The sequence below is a fragment of the Homo sapiens genome, chromosome 8, assembly GCF_000001405.40.
Source record: "Homo sapiens chromosome 8, GRCh38.p14 Primary Assembly".
NCBI classification, from domain to species: Eukaryota; Metazoa; Chordata; class Mammalia; order Primates; family Hominidae; genus Homo; species Homo sapiens.
The window spans coordinates 71993537-72009138 of record NC_000008.11 but is presented as its reverse complement, the minus strand read 5'-3'; the positions used below and the strand labels follow the sequence as shown (position 1 = coordinate 72009138).

General features: G+C 40.5%; 1 long non-coding RNA gene across 2 annotated transcripts in view, besides 1 other annotated feature; it reads right to left on the bottom strand.

The window, feature by feature from the left end:
- The window catches only part of MSC-AS1 (MSC antisense RNA 1), a 213190-nt gene that overhangs the window by 47174 nt on the left and 150414 nt on the right, over positions 1-15602 (bottom strand). The window lies entirely within an intron of this gene.
- Positions 3763-4112: an enhancer, noted in NCBI's record as "active region_27525". NCBI's record gives its function as "activates an Ori minimal core promoter by ATAC-STARR-seq in GM12878 lymphoblastoid cells {active_cell/tissue: GM12878}" and the evidence as "EXISTENCE:reporter gene assay evidence [ECO:0000049][PMID:35858748]".

The window sequence follows — 15602 nt, the reverse complement described above, 5'->3', positions numbered from 1 at the left end:
CTATCACCCTACTATCCAGGCAAGTAGTCCTTGTCCTCAGGATTCAAAATGCAAGCATCCATGTTCCAGGCTGTGGATTAAAGGAAGGGACAGGAAAAAGAGGTACACCAGCTGTCTCTTAAAGAAGGCTCCTGCAATCTACACATCATCATTTACTTATATGCCATTACCTGAATTTAATAAAGTGGCCACATTTTTCTTTAAGAGACACTGGGAAATATCATTCTAATTCCATGCAGGTGTGTGCCCAGATAAACATTCTGTTATTTAGAGAAATGGGCCAATAGATGTTGGCAGTCAACCAACAATCTCTACCACAGAGAATAAGAAAAAATACAAAATTACACTACCTGTGTATAGAGGGCCAGCTCTAAAGGGGGAGGCCATTTCTGATGTCAGTGACCTCACCTAACAGGGAATGTTTGAGTCTTAGAGCAGAAGCATTTCCTGGGAGAGTGGGCTTTAGCTAAAAGACAGAGAGGACTTGGCCCAATCTGGTCTCTGAAAGGCACAACTGTCCACAATGGCTTGCAAGAAGTGAACTGTTAAATAGAAAGAGCAGTCTTAAAGAAGTAGAGTAGAAACTAGTTAATGACATATTTTAGGTAAGGTCTTATTTTTCTTTCTGGAAATCCATGGGGAATGGGATCACATTTGAAACTTCATAGAGAGCAAGCACGTTTTTAAAATAAGCCAAATATTCGGTTTTATGGCACTCTGTATGTTTATTTCTCTCTTTCCTCACTAATTTCCTATAGCTTCTTTTTGAATCTGTTATTCCTTTTCAGCTGTGTGATAGTTATCGAGTCAAGGGATTTTGCTCATGCTTAGTTAAAAATATTTAAATGATGAAACAGAGCCCATCAAGGCCAGCATCATAGGGATAGTGGTAATTATTATACTCTAATTGCAGATTTGATACTGCATGGTCCATTACCCCCTTCTTTCCTCCTAGTAGAACCTCCTGTAGAGTGAACTTTGGAAGTTTGAAGTGTGTGTGGGTGTTTTATTAAAGAGGGCCACTTTACCTGACTGTGAGCTAATGGCTTCCAAAGTCTACTGCACACACATTCATTCCCAGAGCTCTCTCTCCATTTCACCTCTGACCCTCTGCTCAATTCAGTAGCTGCTGGTCCATGGCTACCACCACATTTAATCAAAAGGGGCTAGTTAGTAGCTTTCTCCCTGCCCTGATAACCTCAGAATTAACTCTTAAAAGAAAAAGAAAGAAAGATACATGGAAACTTGCACAATTTCCAAAAATGTAACAATCAGCCCTTGCGCTGGTATAGAAAGGGCCAGCATGCCAATGATAGCTGAACTAATAGATAACATTACAAAAAGATTTACTCCAGATTCTAGGAGTTGCATCAAAATCCAGTCTGAAGTGGAACTTTCTGCTCAGAAACTGATGCATCTAGTCCTATGAAATTCTGCTGTCTGAAGGAAAAGACCATGGACAGAGTGCTGGCACCAGTGATGGCAGTCCAGGAAAGATGAGCAAAGTATGAGTTGAGAGCCTGAACCACAGGTTGTGCCTGGCTGGGCAGGAAACACATGAGTTTTCAGAATACAGACATCACATCATAAGACTAGATGTGTAAGAGGCAGAGTTTGTTTGCCTGACTTTAATCTGACTACATAGAGCTGGACAAGGAATTTACAAAAACAAAATAATATGAAAAAATCCATCCATCAGTTTAACACTAGATGGCACTGAATGATAATAATTTGGAAATAGGCCTTCAGTGTCATTAATAATGGCATTATGGATGTACTTGGGCTGCCCTGAGTCTTGATAGATAAAAAATATCACCAAGTCTACCCTTGCCTCTTTTCACTGTTTTAGCTATAATCCAAACAAAATACAAAAGTTATTATACTCAATTTACCTAGTTTTCATGCTGTTACTTCTTTGTGTTGTGATCTTTCATGTGTCTGTATATCTATTTGTAGGCTCTTTGAACACAGAGACAGCAGTTAATCCTTTTATTTGTTATTTTATCTACTTATTTTGTTGTTGGTATCCTCAATTCCTAGTCACATGAAGGGCTCTTAATACTGAAACATTTTTTCTTTAAAAAACTTTTTTTAAATTTTAATAGCTTTTGAGGTACAAGTGGTTTTTGGTTCCATGAATAATTATAGTAGTGAATTCTGAGATTTTAGCACACGCTTCACCCGACTAGTGTACATTGTACCCAATATGTAGATTTTATTCCACTACCCCTTCTTATCCTCCCCCTTCCGAGTCTCTAAAGTTCATTATACCACTCTGCACGTCTTTGCATACTCATAGCTTAACTTCCACTTATAAGTGAGAACACACAATATTTGGTTTTTCATTCCTGAGTTACTTCACTTAGAACAATGGCCTCCAGCTCCACTCAAGTTGCTGCAGAAGACATTATTCCGTTTTTTTTATGGCTGAGTAGTATTCCGTGGTGTATATATACCACATTTTCTTTATCCACTCATTGGTCGATGGGCACTTAGTTTAGTTTCATATCTTTGCAATTGTGAATTGGGCTGCAATAAGCATACGGGTGCATGTGTCTTTACCATATAATGATTTATTTTCCTTTGGGTAGATACCCAGTAGTGGGATTGTTGGATTGAATGGGCAGTTCTACTCTTAGTTCTTTAAGGAATCTCCATACTGTTTTCCATAAAGGTTGTACTAATCTACATTCCCAACAGCAGTGTAAAAGCATTCTCCTTTCACAACATCCATGCCAACACTTACTGTTTTTTGACTTTTTAATAATGATTATCCTTGAGAGAGTAAGGTGGTATCTCACTGTGGTTTTAACTTGCATTTCCCTGGCGATGAGTGATGTTCAGCATTTTTTCATATGTTTGCTGGCAATTTATATATCTTCTGTTGAGAAATGTCTATTTATGTCATTTGTCCACTTTTCGATGGGATTATTATTATTATTGCCAATTTGTTTGAGTTCTTTGTAGAATCTGGATATGAGTCCTTTGTTGAAACTTTCAAATATATATTTTATTAGTTGTTTGCCATAAATGAAACAAGCATGTTGCATTTGCTTTCTACATGTATGTCTTATTCACTAAAACTGTATATTAAGTCTCATTAACTGTATAGTTAGCCTTATCCACTAAAACTGTATTGCTAGGGGAAAAGAATGTGGTATGTTTTTATATCTTCAGGTAGCAGAGATTTAGAATCCTGGGAGATCAGAGCTGAAAAGGAACTTTATTAATCACGAGGTCCAACTCCATTCCTTTCCAGATGAAGTAACTGAGGTTCAGAGAGATTTAGCAACTTGCCTGAGGTCACACAGCCCGTAAGTGACAGGGTTGGGAATAGAACCAAGGTATTTTGGCCTGCAGGCCATGTGTCATTATTTCTTAAGCTGCCAGGCCCAAGGTGCAGAATGGAAGAAATAGGTCTCTCCAGGCTGGGATATGGAGCTGGGGGACCATCCTGCCTCGGGTCATTTCCTCTCTCATGACTGCTTTCGGTAGCTTTGAAGCCCAGTGAGATAGGACAACGGTCTCGCGCAGGCTCTCTGCACACCGCAGTTACAGGCAGAGCAGTCTGACCAGGGACACGAAAGACGTGTTTTCTTTGAGCCACTGAAAAAACTGCCCTCCACAGGGTTGAGGGAGGTCCCTGGAGATTGCTACCTGCAGGAAGAAAGGAGTGTCGCCAGTCCTACACTGAAAGGGGGAGGGCAGTTCCAAACTGCACCTCTGAAGCTGCGCACGCCCCCGCTGGTCACTGGTGGCTGGGGAGGTGGATGCGCCACTGACCCAGGAGAGGGCGCCGAGAAACGAGCGTCCTGGCCCGCGCTTCGGTGCTGCTCGCCACCTGCCGGGGCCCCCTCGTGACACGGACACAGCTCTCCTTCCCAGAGCCCAAAGTCACCCCACCTGAGAGTGGCACAGGAACGGGGGCTCCCCAGTTCTCCGCGGAGCAGGAATCCCCGGAGTCCGGACCTCTCTGACTCCTGGAGACGACCTGCAAGCCTTGAGAGTTCGCTCGACAAGCGCGAGGGCAGTGACTTGAGGTTCGCTCATACTGGGGAGTTCGGCGCGCTGTGGGGAGCTGGCACCTGCACCAGGGACCTGACTGCGTCAGCGCTGCTCTGCTTCCCCTTCCCCAGCTCGGCCCCGGGTCACACAAATATAGACGCTTGCTCTTTGAAACTGTGGAGTCACGCTGGTCTGCTGCTCAAAATAAGAAAAAGAAAACCGAAAACCAAGCAAAAATCTTTCCTAAGCTTAAGAAGTCTGGAGGATTTAAGGGTCTTTGTAGGAACTCCTTTTGATCTCACGTTATGCGCGTAATAGCCAATCAGTATTTATGGGGTATATGCTGGGTGTCAGGAAGGCACTGGAATTACCATGGCGAATAAGGCAGCATGGTTTCTTCCCTTATGGAGCTTAAAGTTTAGAAGAAAAGATAGACTTGGGGAGTCGGTGGGGAGAGGTGCGGGGGGGGATGTCGGGATGGTTTCACAATCAAATACCGTACTTAGAGTGAAAATGGGGTAGTGTACTGGAGCCCACTGGCACAGGCTCCCCAGAGGCAACTGTGAAATTTTCAGGAATTTTGCCAGCCGGTTGTTGCAAACAAACAACCGTACTTAAAATCAGGTAAGGTGATTATACTTAGATCACTGAAATCAGCAAATGTCACAAACCTGGTCTTCCCCCAGAGCCCCTGTTGTTAACCCTTTACAGACTACCATTGGAGATAAGGGTCTGTAACCCGTGGCACGTTGCTGCCAAACTGGATGCAGTGAGTATACCCAACTACCAGCTGGGTTGGAGGGGAAGGGAAGGGAGCAACGACGTTTGGCACTAGTGTAGTACAGCCACCTAGACTGGAGCTGCTTCCTCCTCACCACTGGTTATCCGATGCTGGAGAGATTACTTCCTAGGCTACCTATGCCAATCAGGTGACCAGGTAGTGGTGGTGGGCGCCCACATGTGGCACAGTGTCTCTCTCGAGCAGAAACATTTAGACTGCAGTGATCTGATCGTTCAAGCAAACTCCCCAATGCACTTTCCCAAACTCTTGACATAACCCTTCTCCGTCAGGATTCTGCCTGATCTGTATACTTCCTACCCTATCACTAACTTCACATTTTCTTTAAATTGACTTGCTTTATCCACACAAATGTTATTTTAAAGAATACTTAAAACCCTAACACTGATAAAGATCAATGTTGTTTGTAATAAATGTAAAGTGATTCTAAAAATAAATACAGTGAAAACAAAACAATGCTATTAATTTCCAGCTCTGAGCTCCAGGTCTGCTCAAAGATTCAACATTAATAGGTGTATAAATATACTGTCGCCACCTGGCAACATTGCTCTTGAGGTCATCAGAATAATTAAAATCAAATTTGAAAGGAAACACGGCTAGGCTCGGTGGCTCACACCTGTAACCCCAGCACTTTGGGAGGCCAAGGTGGGCAGATCATCTGAGGTCAGGAGTTCAAGACCAGCCTGACCAACATGGCCAAACCCCATCTCTACTAAAAATGCAAAAATTAGCCGGGCGTGGTAGCGGGTACTTGTAATTCCAGCTACTCTTGAGGCTGAGGCAGGAGAATCGCTTGAACCTGGGAGGCGTAGGTTGCAGTGACCTGAGATTGTGCCACTGCACTCCAGCCTGGGTGACAGAGCTAGACTCTGTCTCAAAAAAAAAAAAAAAAAAAATTAAAAGGAAGCAAATTCATCAATGTGTGATTTGACATTTAATATCTTATCTGAATACCACTTAAATTACCTTGTTATAATGGGAATGATAATAACAATCAGCATCATCATCATCCTGACACTTACCGAACACTTAGTATTCATGTGCCAGGCACTGTGTTTTCTGTAGTAACTGGATATTATTGGAGCTCTCCTTTGTTCGGACTCTGCCAGTTCTGTTGCAATTCTGCTTTCACCTTTTCTACACGTGATGCTTCAACTGATTTTATTTCTACAGAACTTGAGGGCAAACACAATTCATCACTGTGATAGTTATCTTCCAGTGAGCATAGGATTAATCCTCCTAATTAACTAATAGACATTATTTTAAAACACATCTTCATCCTATTACTATTATAAGTGCAACAAAAAATTGTATTTTGCCAGAAATAAAAATTAAAAAAAATTAGCTTTCTTGGCTGACTGGTTTATTCATTCAACAAATATTTACTGAGTGTCTATTATCAGGAGAAGGACATGGGCATAGAGGATGAACTTCCCTGATTAATGGCCCAGGCAGAGGCCTTGAAGTCCTCGTCTCATGAGTGCATGGCCACAGTAAATTATCCTATTGATATCATTAGTTATCTGAAAGAGAGTTTGCATAAGAGCAGAAGGAGCACAAGGTGCTGAAGTTCATGATTGAGAGACTAGACTTCCAAAAGGAGAAGATAAATAAAAACAAGTCCATTTTCTTCTTGTTCAGTATCTGATAGCCCAGAGAAAGGCAAAAATCTTTGAGTGGCTTATTGGACAGACAGAATGTATTCAAAATCTGTATGCAGTGGCCTTGCTCTGCCTTCTTGTGCAGACCGAGGCGGTTACAGGTAGGAGCTGGTCTGAGGACATGGCAGGCCTAGCCTCTCTCAGTGGCAGAAAGGAAGAACTGGTAGTGAGGATCATAATAAACAATGACCCCAAGGCTGCCCCAGACCAGACCCAGGGCCCATTTGGGACCACAAGTGCTATCAGTAAATGAATTGACTAAAATAACGACGTCTTCATCCACTTTTATTTTTTTCGCTTTTCCAATTCAATTCTTCTAGTCTTTTCCTGACAGATGGCCATCCAGTCACATTTACATGCAAAGTCTTAGAAAGATGCTCCAAATTAGTTGCAGTGAGCCGAGATCACGCCACACCATTGCATCCCAGCAGCCTGGGCGACAGAGTGAGATTCTGTCTTAAAAAAAAAAAAAAAAGAAAGAAAGATGCTCCAAATTTTAACCTTACACCTGCTTCCTATAAATCCTGCTCTAGCTGGCCTCATAGGTTAGTGAAAATTTTTCTTTAGCTTTAGAAATTAAAATTGTATTAGTGTTTCCTATTATTTTATTCTTTCTCTCTTCTCTATATACATGCTAATTTCCCCAAATATTATTTAATGAAATATTCTATCTAGACCTCTCCACACCTTTATTGCCTTCTTATAGTTACAATCCCACCTATTAGTGTGTCCTTTAAAAGGCTCAGATGCAGCGATGCAGTAGCTTTATGTCTATTCTCTAAATATACCTAGAGAGGAGAGTGGGCAGTAATGTGCCTCATTATTGTGAGTGTCAGAATAAAGACATTCAAATAAATATAAGTGAGAATATAATATCCAGGAAAACCAACAATTTATTGGAGAGGAACTCAAGGTAGGATGGAGCTGGGAAAATCTTTGTGCCATCTCTGGACAGAAGCCAACATTTTTCTTCTTTAGGGCATTTTATTTTTCTGTTGAACCTCTGTTCTATTTCATAACGGCAATTTTAATATGGAGTGTATTGTCATTTTCATTTAGTTAGGAGATGTCAAATTTGATAATATGCCTATTATAGTATTTGATTACGTGGCAAATGATAAACTAAAAGCAATTTTATTTTTTCTTAATTCTAACCCTGAAAACCACTCTGTGGACTTTTTCTATTCTAGCCTTTTTTAGAGAATAAAAAGTTCAGTATGAGAACTAAAGATTCTCACCAACTTTGAAGTTTCCCCTTTCCTAGCCTGGTTTGCCTCCAGCTTAGAAGCCTGCAGTATAGAGGGGATAAGTTATAATTTGCCCCTTTTCTCTTTCCCCACCAATCCCTCCTTCCACACTCAGTGTGCTGCCCCTGGCTCCTCCAGGAGGGGAAAGGAGAAGTCTTACTTGAGCAGGACAGCTCTAATCTAACATGGATACCGCTTGGGTATGAGAGATATTTAAAGCTGGCTCTCTTGGGAGACAGTTTTGTGAAGGCATTTGGAGATTACAGTCCCCTGGTATGGGCTATGTCTCCTCTGCTGGTCCCTTGCAACTCCCCACGCTTACCTTTTATATCCAATATTGTATATCTAGGCTTTAGGAGCTTAGGCTGCTTCATCCCTAGCTGAAAGTCCTTTGGGAGGGCTCTTTACAAGATAGGGACTGGCTGCTTCCCTCCTGTATGGTCTAAACGTGGCCTATAGAAGTGTATACCCTTGCCCATCACTGGGGGAGAGGCCGCTTGCTTCCTAATCTGCCCTCCATAACTTCAGAAGTATAATTTAAAGTGGCGGTACTCAATCAAAGCCTGTACACTGTACAAGAGTTAAAACTGAACCAGAAGAGAAACAGAAACTGTGAAGGGTCATCACTTAACTGTTCTCTAGAATTTTCAGAAGAACTGGCCTATTTATTGCTTGTCACTGTGCATGCACTTATTCATAGAAGTAGTTACAAGATTATAAGATACTCTCACAATGTGTGATGTCCCTTCATGCCAGGTCAATTCTCACTAAGGGACCTTTGCTAATTCTTAAAGTACCTCCTTACTTGGCATTTCCGGAAGACCACTCAGCATCACATCTGAAAGTAGCAAGATTAGTCAGCATCATGTATGAACCCAGAAGATTAGTCAGAAGCAAAAAAAAAAAAAAAAAAAGCATTTCTTGGGCACTTGTTTCGAAAGCAAAGGGTCTAACCACCAATCACAGTTGCATTCTGAAAGACATTGTAGTAAAAAGTAGGGCGCAAAGTCACTTCTAGCTAGCCAGTCAGCAATGCGGGGGCCCCTAAGCGTGCTAATTATGGTGAGGTTACAAAGGAGCTGCAAGGCTCAGCCTCATTAGTCAAGTTGCTCACACTTCAGCTGGGGAGGTGACATTTCTTTCAATTTAACTAAACTTAAGAGGTTCAGTGAAATAAATTGTATTTCATAAACTTTGGGGGGCTCAGAGAATTGTCCTCATTCTTTATTTTAAAAATCTATTCATTATGAACTTCACACTTAGTTCAGATGTCACTGGGTAATCAATAGACAGTGAATGGTAGAAGAAAATGGATCTGGCAATGTCATATAGTAGTAGTTGCACAATGTGATATATAAGGAAAGGTATTACATTATAGTGGAAAGAAATCACAATGAATGCTGCTGAAATCATAGGATTGATTTTGGGGCCTTTTTTTTTTGAGACAGGGTGTTGCTCTGTCACACAGGCTGGAGTGCAATGGTACAATCAGGGCTCACTGCAGCCTTGACCTCCTGGGATCAAGTTATCCTCCTGCCTCAGCCTCACAAACAGCGGGGACCACAGGTGTGCACCACCATGCCCAGCTAACTTTTTTATTATTTGTAGAAATGGGGTCTCACTCTGTTGCTCAGGCTGGTCTCGAACTCCTGGGCTCAAGCCATCCTCCCACCTCAGACTACCAAAGTGCTGGGGTTACAGGTATGCACCATCATGCCCAGCCTGATGGATTTGGGGAGAAATATGTAATGGAGCAATGAAACATAAACATGATGAAGGAGTTGGGCAGAGCTAAACTCCATAGAAGCTGGGGTAAACACAACTTGTTCCACAAACAGAGATGGTTCTTATAACTTTGGCTCTCGTGGGAGCAGATGGCTTATGTCTGATTCCAGTCTGTGGTAGCAAGCCTCTCCTTTATGTTGAGCAAATGGGAAATTGCAGCCAAGGCAGGCACTGTTAAGACCCAGCAATCTGCTGTACATCAAACTGCACACTATAGATGGCAATGCTTCCTGAATTTACGGATTAATACTTCAGAGCTTTAAACAGTAAATAGCTAGATCTGTTGATCTCAACATGGTGTACTTGGAAATTAAGACAAAATGAAGGAAATAATTTACTGTTACAGTAAAGGCTCTGAGTATAATGTTTATCATGTAACATTCCTTTCCTTAGAAAATGTGGGAAACTATGTTGTGGGAGCTTATAAAATAACAGAAAATGTTTGTTCTGTGAGGAAAAGCTAAGTGCACTCTTTCCTTTCCACCATGTATCACTGGGTGCAATTATGTGTCAAGTGGGTCAATAACTGAATTGAAAGTAAGAATCTTCCCTAAGGTTTCCCATGCATGTGTTTTTTCAGAGATTCATTTTTGTTTGTCCAAAATGAAGAATTTGTCTTTATTCAGAAATGTGATCATCAAACACTTGCCCTGAACCTGTGCTCTGAGTCTTCCTTGGGGGAAGCCGTCAACCTCCTTGTTAGAGAATCCTTTGGGAGGCAAAAGATAGAAGCGATCCCAAAGAGGTCCTGGGATTTGCTCAGGGATGAGCAAATAGGAAGTGACCAGGACAGCACTGGCACCCTGGGCTTCTGAACCTAGACTCAGCGTTATGTCTAGTCCAGCCACGTAAAACATTGACGGTCCCTGACTTCTGTACAGACCTACTCATAGACCCACATCAATCTCAGATATTCTCTCCTATACATCTAATAACTGAAACCATTTGCATGTGTAAACCAAGCCTACAGATATTTAATGTAAAGGAAAAAATGAAAGACCATTCACACGTATGCATTTTTCTGGAAGCCTCAGTGAGGTGGCCCAAGTTCTCCAAATGCATTATTTCAATGTAGCCTAATATAAATTTAGTTCTTAGTATTTGAGTGCTCGCACAAAGAAAATATGTTGCTTGTCATTGAAGCACAAACAAAATAAGATTAACTAAAGCATAACTTTTAAAACCCCTGCAGCTCCTCCTATAATTGCATTTAGCATGTCTGCTTACTATCAGTATAACTTTAGGCTACTTAACCTTCATGACACCGTACTATGGTTTAAATGATAATGTCCTCTCCAAAATTCATGTTGAAACTTAATGACCAATGCAACAGTGTTAAAAGTTGTGGCCTATGGGAGGTAGTAAAGTCATGAGGACTCCAGGCTTATGAATGGGATTAGCACCCTTATAAAAGGTTGAAGGGAGCACGTTCTTGCTTTTCTGCCTTCCACCATGTGAGAACACAGAAACAGGCACCATCTTGGAAGCAGAGAACAGCCCTCACCAGACACCAATGCTAGCACAGAGATCTTGGACTTTCCACCCTCCAGAACTGTAAAAAATAAATTTCTCTTTTCTAAATTACTCAGTTTCAGGTGGTTTGCTATAGCAGCACAAATGAACTAAGACAATGCAGTCACCTCTTCTATGACAAGAAAATCAGATTCATTCCTTGTTGGGCATGTAGAACCCTGCATTCCATCCTTAGAAAATCAAGAGTCACACGTGTGGCCAGGAACTTGTATTTTTGGAAGACTTCTCACATGATTTAAATGCACAGACAGACATAAGAACCACTGATTACAATAACTCCAAGAAACAAAAACTATTATAAATGGGAAATAAAAGGCATATTTGTATTTGACGTTAGTTAACCCAAACCAGGCATGGACCCGGGAGAATACTATTTTAATTCAATAAAGGTTTAAATTACTGAGTATAATTTTATAGACTGAAATGAAGAGGGGAGAAAAAGCAGCAAGCTCCTTGGCTGCTGAAGGAATTTTCTCAGCCAATTTTTGTAAAAGGGTTAAAGCAGTATTTGGTACCTAGTATTAAGTCAATTAAGTAAATACTTGATAAATATTAGCAATTATTTTTATTATTGAATAAAAATAGTATTGATTAATTTAGGACAATTGTAAATGATCTTTAAAGTGGGGAGTAAGCAGCTCTTTAAGTGAGCAAAATCCCTTTAGATATTACATGTAAGTATTAAAACACATTAAAATATTGATGTATATTAATAATGAAACTTCAGTATGTTAACTTCTTATATTTTCCCACCAAGCGATATTGGATAATCCTCTTCTTACTCTCACTGAATTTTTTCTTTTCAGAACAAATGTCAAAAATTATCTAGAAAAGGCATGTATTCTCATTCAAAGACACTTGAGCTGGAAAAACCCTTTAGATAATAGACTTCATCTTCGGGACAAATGTTAGAAGAGGATTTTGAAACATATTCTAATTAAACACATATATCTATAATAAAATCTTAACTTGTCCTGGCTGGCACATGTTTATGGTACACAATGTATCTGAAACATGCATGGTTTAAAGATGTAGAACATTTGGTTCTAATTACTTCCTTTCCCTAACTGACCATTTAATTTGCTTTTCAGGGAGTTCTTGGCCTTTCTTCATAAGCATTTGCACCTTGCAGGTGTCAGCACATCTCTTCCTTGCTCTTAGCTGGGACAGTGTGACACTTCTTAGCAGATATAAAATGACTATGTAACCTTGAGTAATGTCAGTCCTGTGCTGGGCCATTAATGCAAACCACTTCATGAACTGCTCAATTCTTTTAACTCTTTCTTTTCCCCAAGGTCTCCCTTAGTCAGTGAGTGCACCAGCCACTATTCAAACATGATTATAAATCGTGGTTGTTTGCTCACTGACCCTCTTACAACACCGAAAAAAAAAAAAAGAAAAGAAAAAAAGAAAAAGAAAAAAAGAAATTCAGCTCAGAGGGCTCAGCCCTAACTTAGACAGCACCTCTGCTGTTGATGAATCTTTATGGAAGCCTTATCTTATATTTTTAACAGCAAAGCTCAGGCTCTGTTTTACTGAAGCTGTTTATATATCTAATCAGAGTAGATCAGGAAATGTGGTTGACAGCACAGGGCTGCCTCAGAAACATAATATTTGCTGGCCAGCATTAAGGGGGCCTTTCAGCCTGGAGGCATGATCAATGAAGTGTGCCTGAGGCTCTGTTTAGATTAAGGGAAATAACACATTGGTGGCCACATTCATCCTGAGCAAATCGTTTTCCCTCACGTGGGCTGCGTGAAAAGCTTTCCAATAAAACCGATGACAGGATTAAACACAACCAACTCTTCACATGCCTTTCACGTGGCTGTTGGCCACAGGCTGGGAGAAACACGGACTCCAGCTTGACTAGAAGGAAGATGGCCCAGAAAGAAAGGGCAGCCTATGCTCTGCCCAATCGCTCACCAGCTGTTGGCCTTTGGCAAACATGTATCTCTCAGAGCCTCTGTTTCATCACTTTTAAAATAGCGGTGTGTTAGTCAGGGTTCTTCAGAGAAACAGAACCAAGAGGATATATGTATATATGTATACGCGTACACACACACACACATACATATAGAGGAGGGAAAGAGAAAGCTTTATTTTAAGAAAAATTGGAACATGCAATTTTGAGGTGTAGCAAGTCTGAAATCTGCAAGGCGGGCCTGCAGCCTGGAGACTCAGGGAAGAGCTGATGTTGCAAACACATGCTGGAGAAAGAATTCCTTCTTCCTCAGGAGGGGACCTCAGTCTTTTTCTCTTAAGGCCTTCAATTTATTGGATGAGGCTTACCCACATTATGGAGGGTAACATGCTTTACTCAAAGTCTATTAATTTAAATGTTAATCATATCTAAAACATACCTTCATAACAATGTCCAGATTGGTGTTTGACCAAAACTGGGTACCATGGATATGATACCCTAACCATTACAGGGGTTATAATAATACTTCACTCGAGAAGTTTGGGGAAAATTAAGCACTAATGTCTATAAAACATTTTGCATGGCACATGGCACCAAATAAAGACTCAGTAACTTCCCCTGTACTGTGAGATTTTAGGTGGATTTGACTAATGATTTAAGATTACATTCTAAAATATTGGAAAATACGAGTCACTATTGGGTATAATTGAGTGTTACTATTTGACAGCATCTGCTTCAGATTCTTTCGCAGACATATTGTGTTGAACCTCCACCAATAAGCTTCATGTGTCCCTGAAAATTGAGGGGCTACATATTTGTAGCAGGGGTGTATTTGTAGACTTAGAGAATTTTTAAAGGCTTACCTTCTGCTCTTGAGAAAAAATTAAAAATCTTTGTGAGTACAGTAAGCATTTCATGGATGTTTTCACACTGTGTGGCCCTAGCAATTTTGGAACATGGAGGAGTAAGGTAAGAGCTCATTTAACACTGTCTCATGAAGTGCCTGCCCCAGAGTTGGAAAAGGGAGCTTAAGAATGTGGCTTCCACGTATGTCTTTCTCTCCATGGCATGAAATATGGCTTCGAAGAAAATTTCGTTGTTTCCATTTCAAGGTCTTTTTGTGAGGGGAGAAACTGGGCAGTCACTGGTGGAATGCTACCTTTCCAAGATTTATTAGGAGTCTTGAAGGGCTCAGTAAACTAGGAAGGTAGCTTTTGTATCCTGCAGCACTCAAGACTGATTTAATTTCATGTCAGTTCTGGAACTGCAAGCACAATATGAGCTGCAACTTTATAAATTGCTCCTTAGAGCAGCTGACCTTGCAGGTGGGAGAGTCAAAAAGGGTGGAAAAGTAGAGGAAGCTGGAAGGTTGAGAATTGGTGCACCCAGCAGCTACATTTCACCAAAGCACATGGAGTTCTTATCTGTCCCCAATGTCACCCAAAACATCCCTTCTTTCCCTTGTGTTTGTTTCCTGCCTAAAATAGCAATTTCTTTTTCCCCAGAAGGGTGTCAAATGAGGTAGTGAAGGAGAAACTTGATTATGCTACCATCGTGTGAAGGGTTTTTTAAATTTTCAAAGATTATTTCACCAAAACTCTGCCCAAGAGAAACTCAGAATAAACTAAGTAAAGCCTAATTTATGTCTCCTCTCACAATAGAATTCCTGATAGAAATGTTAAAACAAACTGATGTCACTAAGAAAACAAAGTTAATACTCAGAAGCACTGAATTTTTACAGGAGCTAGAAAATGTGATGCGGTTTCATAGCATCTATTAAGGCATGTCTTAAAATGAGCAAGCAACAATGTTATTGGAAGGAAACCACAGACCATCAGGATAAATCTCCTCACAGCCTATTAGTTCCATTGCAATGGAGTGTTGTCTATGGGGTGGTGGAATCCTATTCTCTCTTGTCATTTAATATTATTCCAGACCAAGCATTTGTGGACAATGTTACCTTAGTGATAGGATTTCCATGTCTCAGAATGAATATATGCAATTAATTCTAAAAAAATAAATTTTTGAGGGGAAGAAATGTAATCAAAAATAAAATTAAATGTCAAAATAATAAATATATTAGCACAGGTTGTCAGTTGTGATTTTCAGATTTGATATACATCCTCTTAGTATTTTGCATTCATTACATCTAATTCATCAACTAATACTGATCTATAGCCACGTGATCTCAATATCCTGTGACAAAGATGCTCTTTGCACTTATCATATTTCAGATATTTAGACAGATGGCTGGGCTGTAATATTGTATGCTTATATTTGCCCTAGTTAATATTGGTCTCTACATTCTGCTATTTTGGGTGTTTTACCAATTAGAAAGTACAGAGAGGTAGAATCATAGCTACGCATTTACAAATTTCAAATCTACCAACATATACACCATTATAAAGAGAATACCTTGATGTATAGCTAATTGCTGATTTATACTCACATTCCACTCCCACCCCCCTACATTTCCCTAGAAGGCCAGGTAGAGGTTAATCTGTTCCAAATCTACACTACTCATGTGGTTTGTGCCCCTTGCTTCTCCCTGAAATAAAGGAATTATCCTTGTGTGTCATCTGTCATCTGAAATCAAACATAGAAGGCCCACAATAAATGCATTTATTGTTGTCCCAAACTTCAAAGCAGAA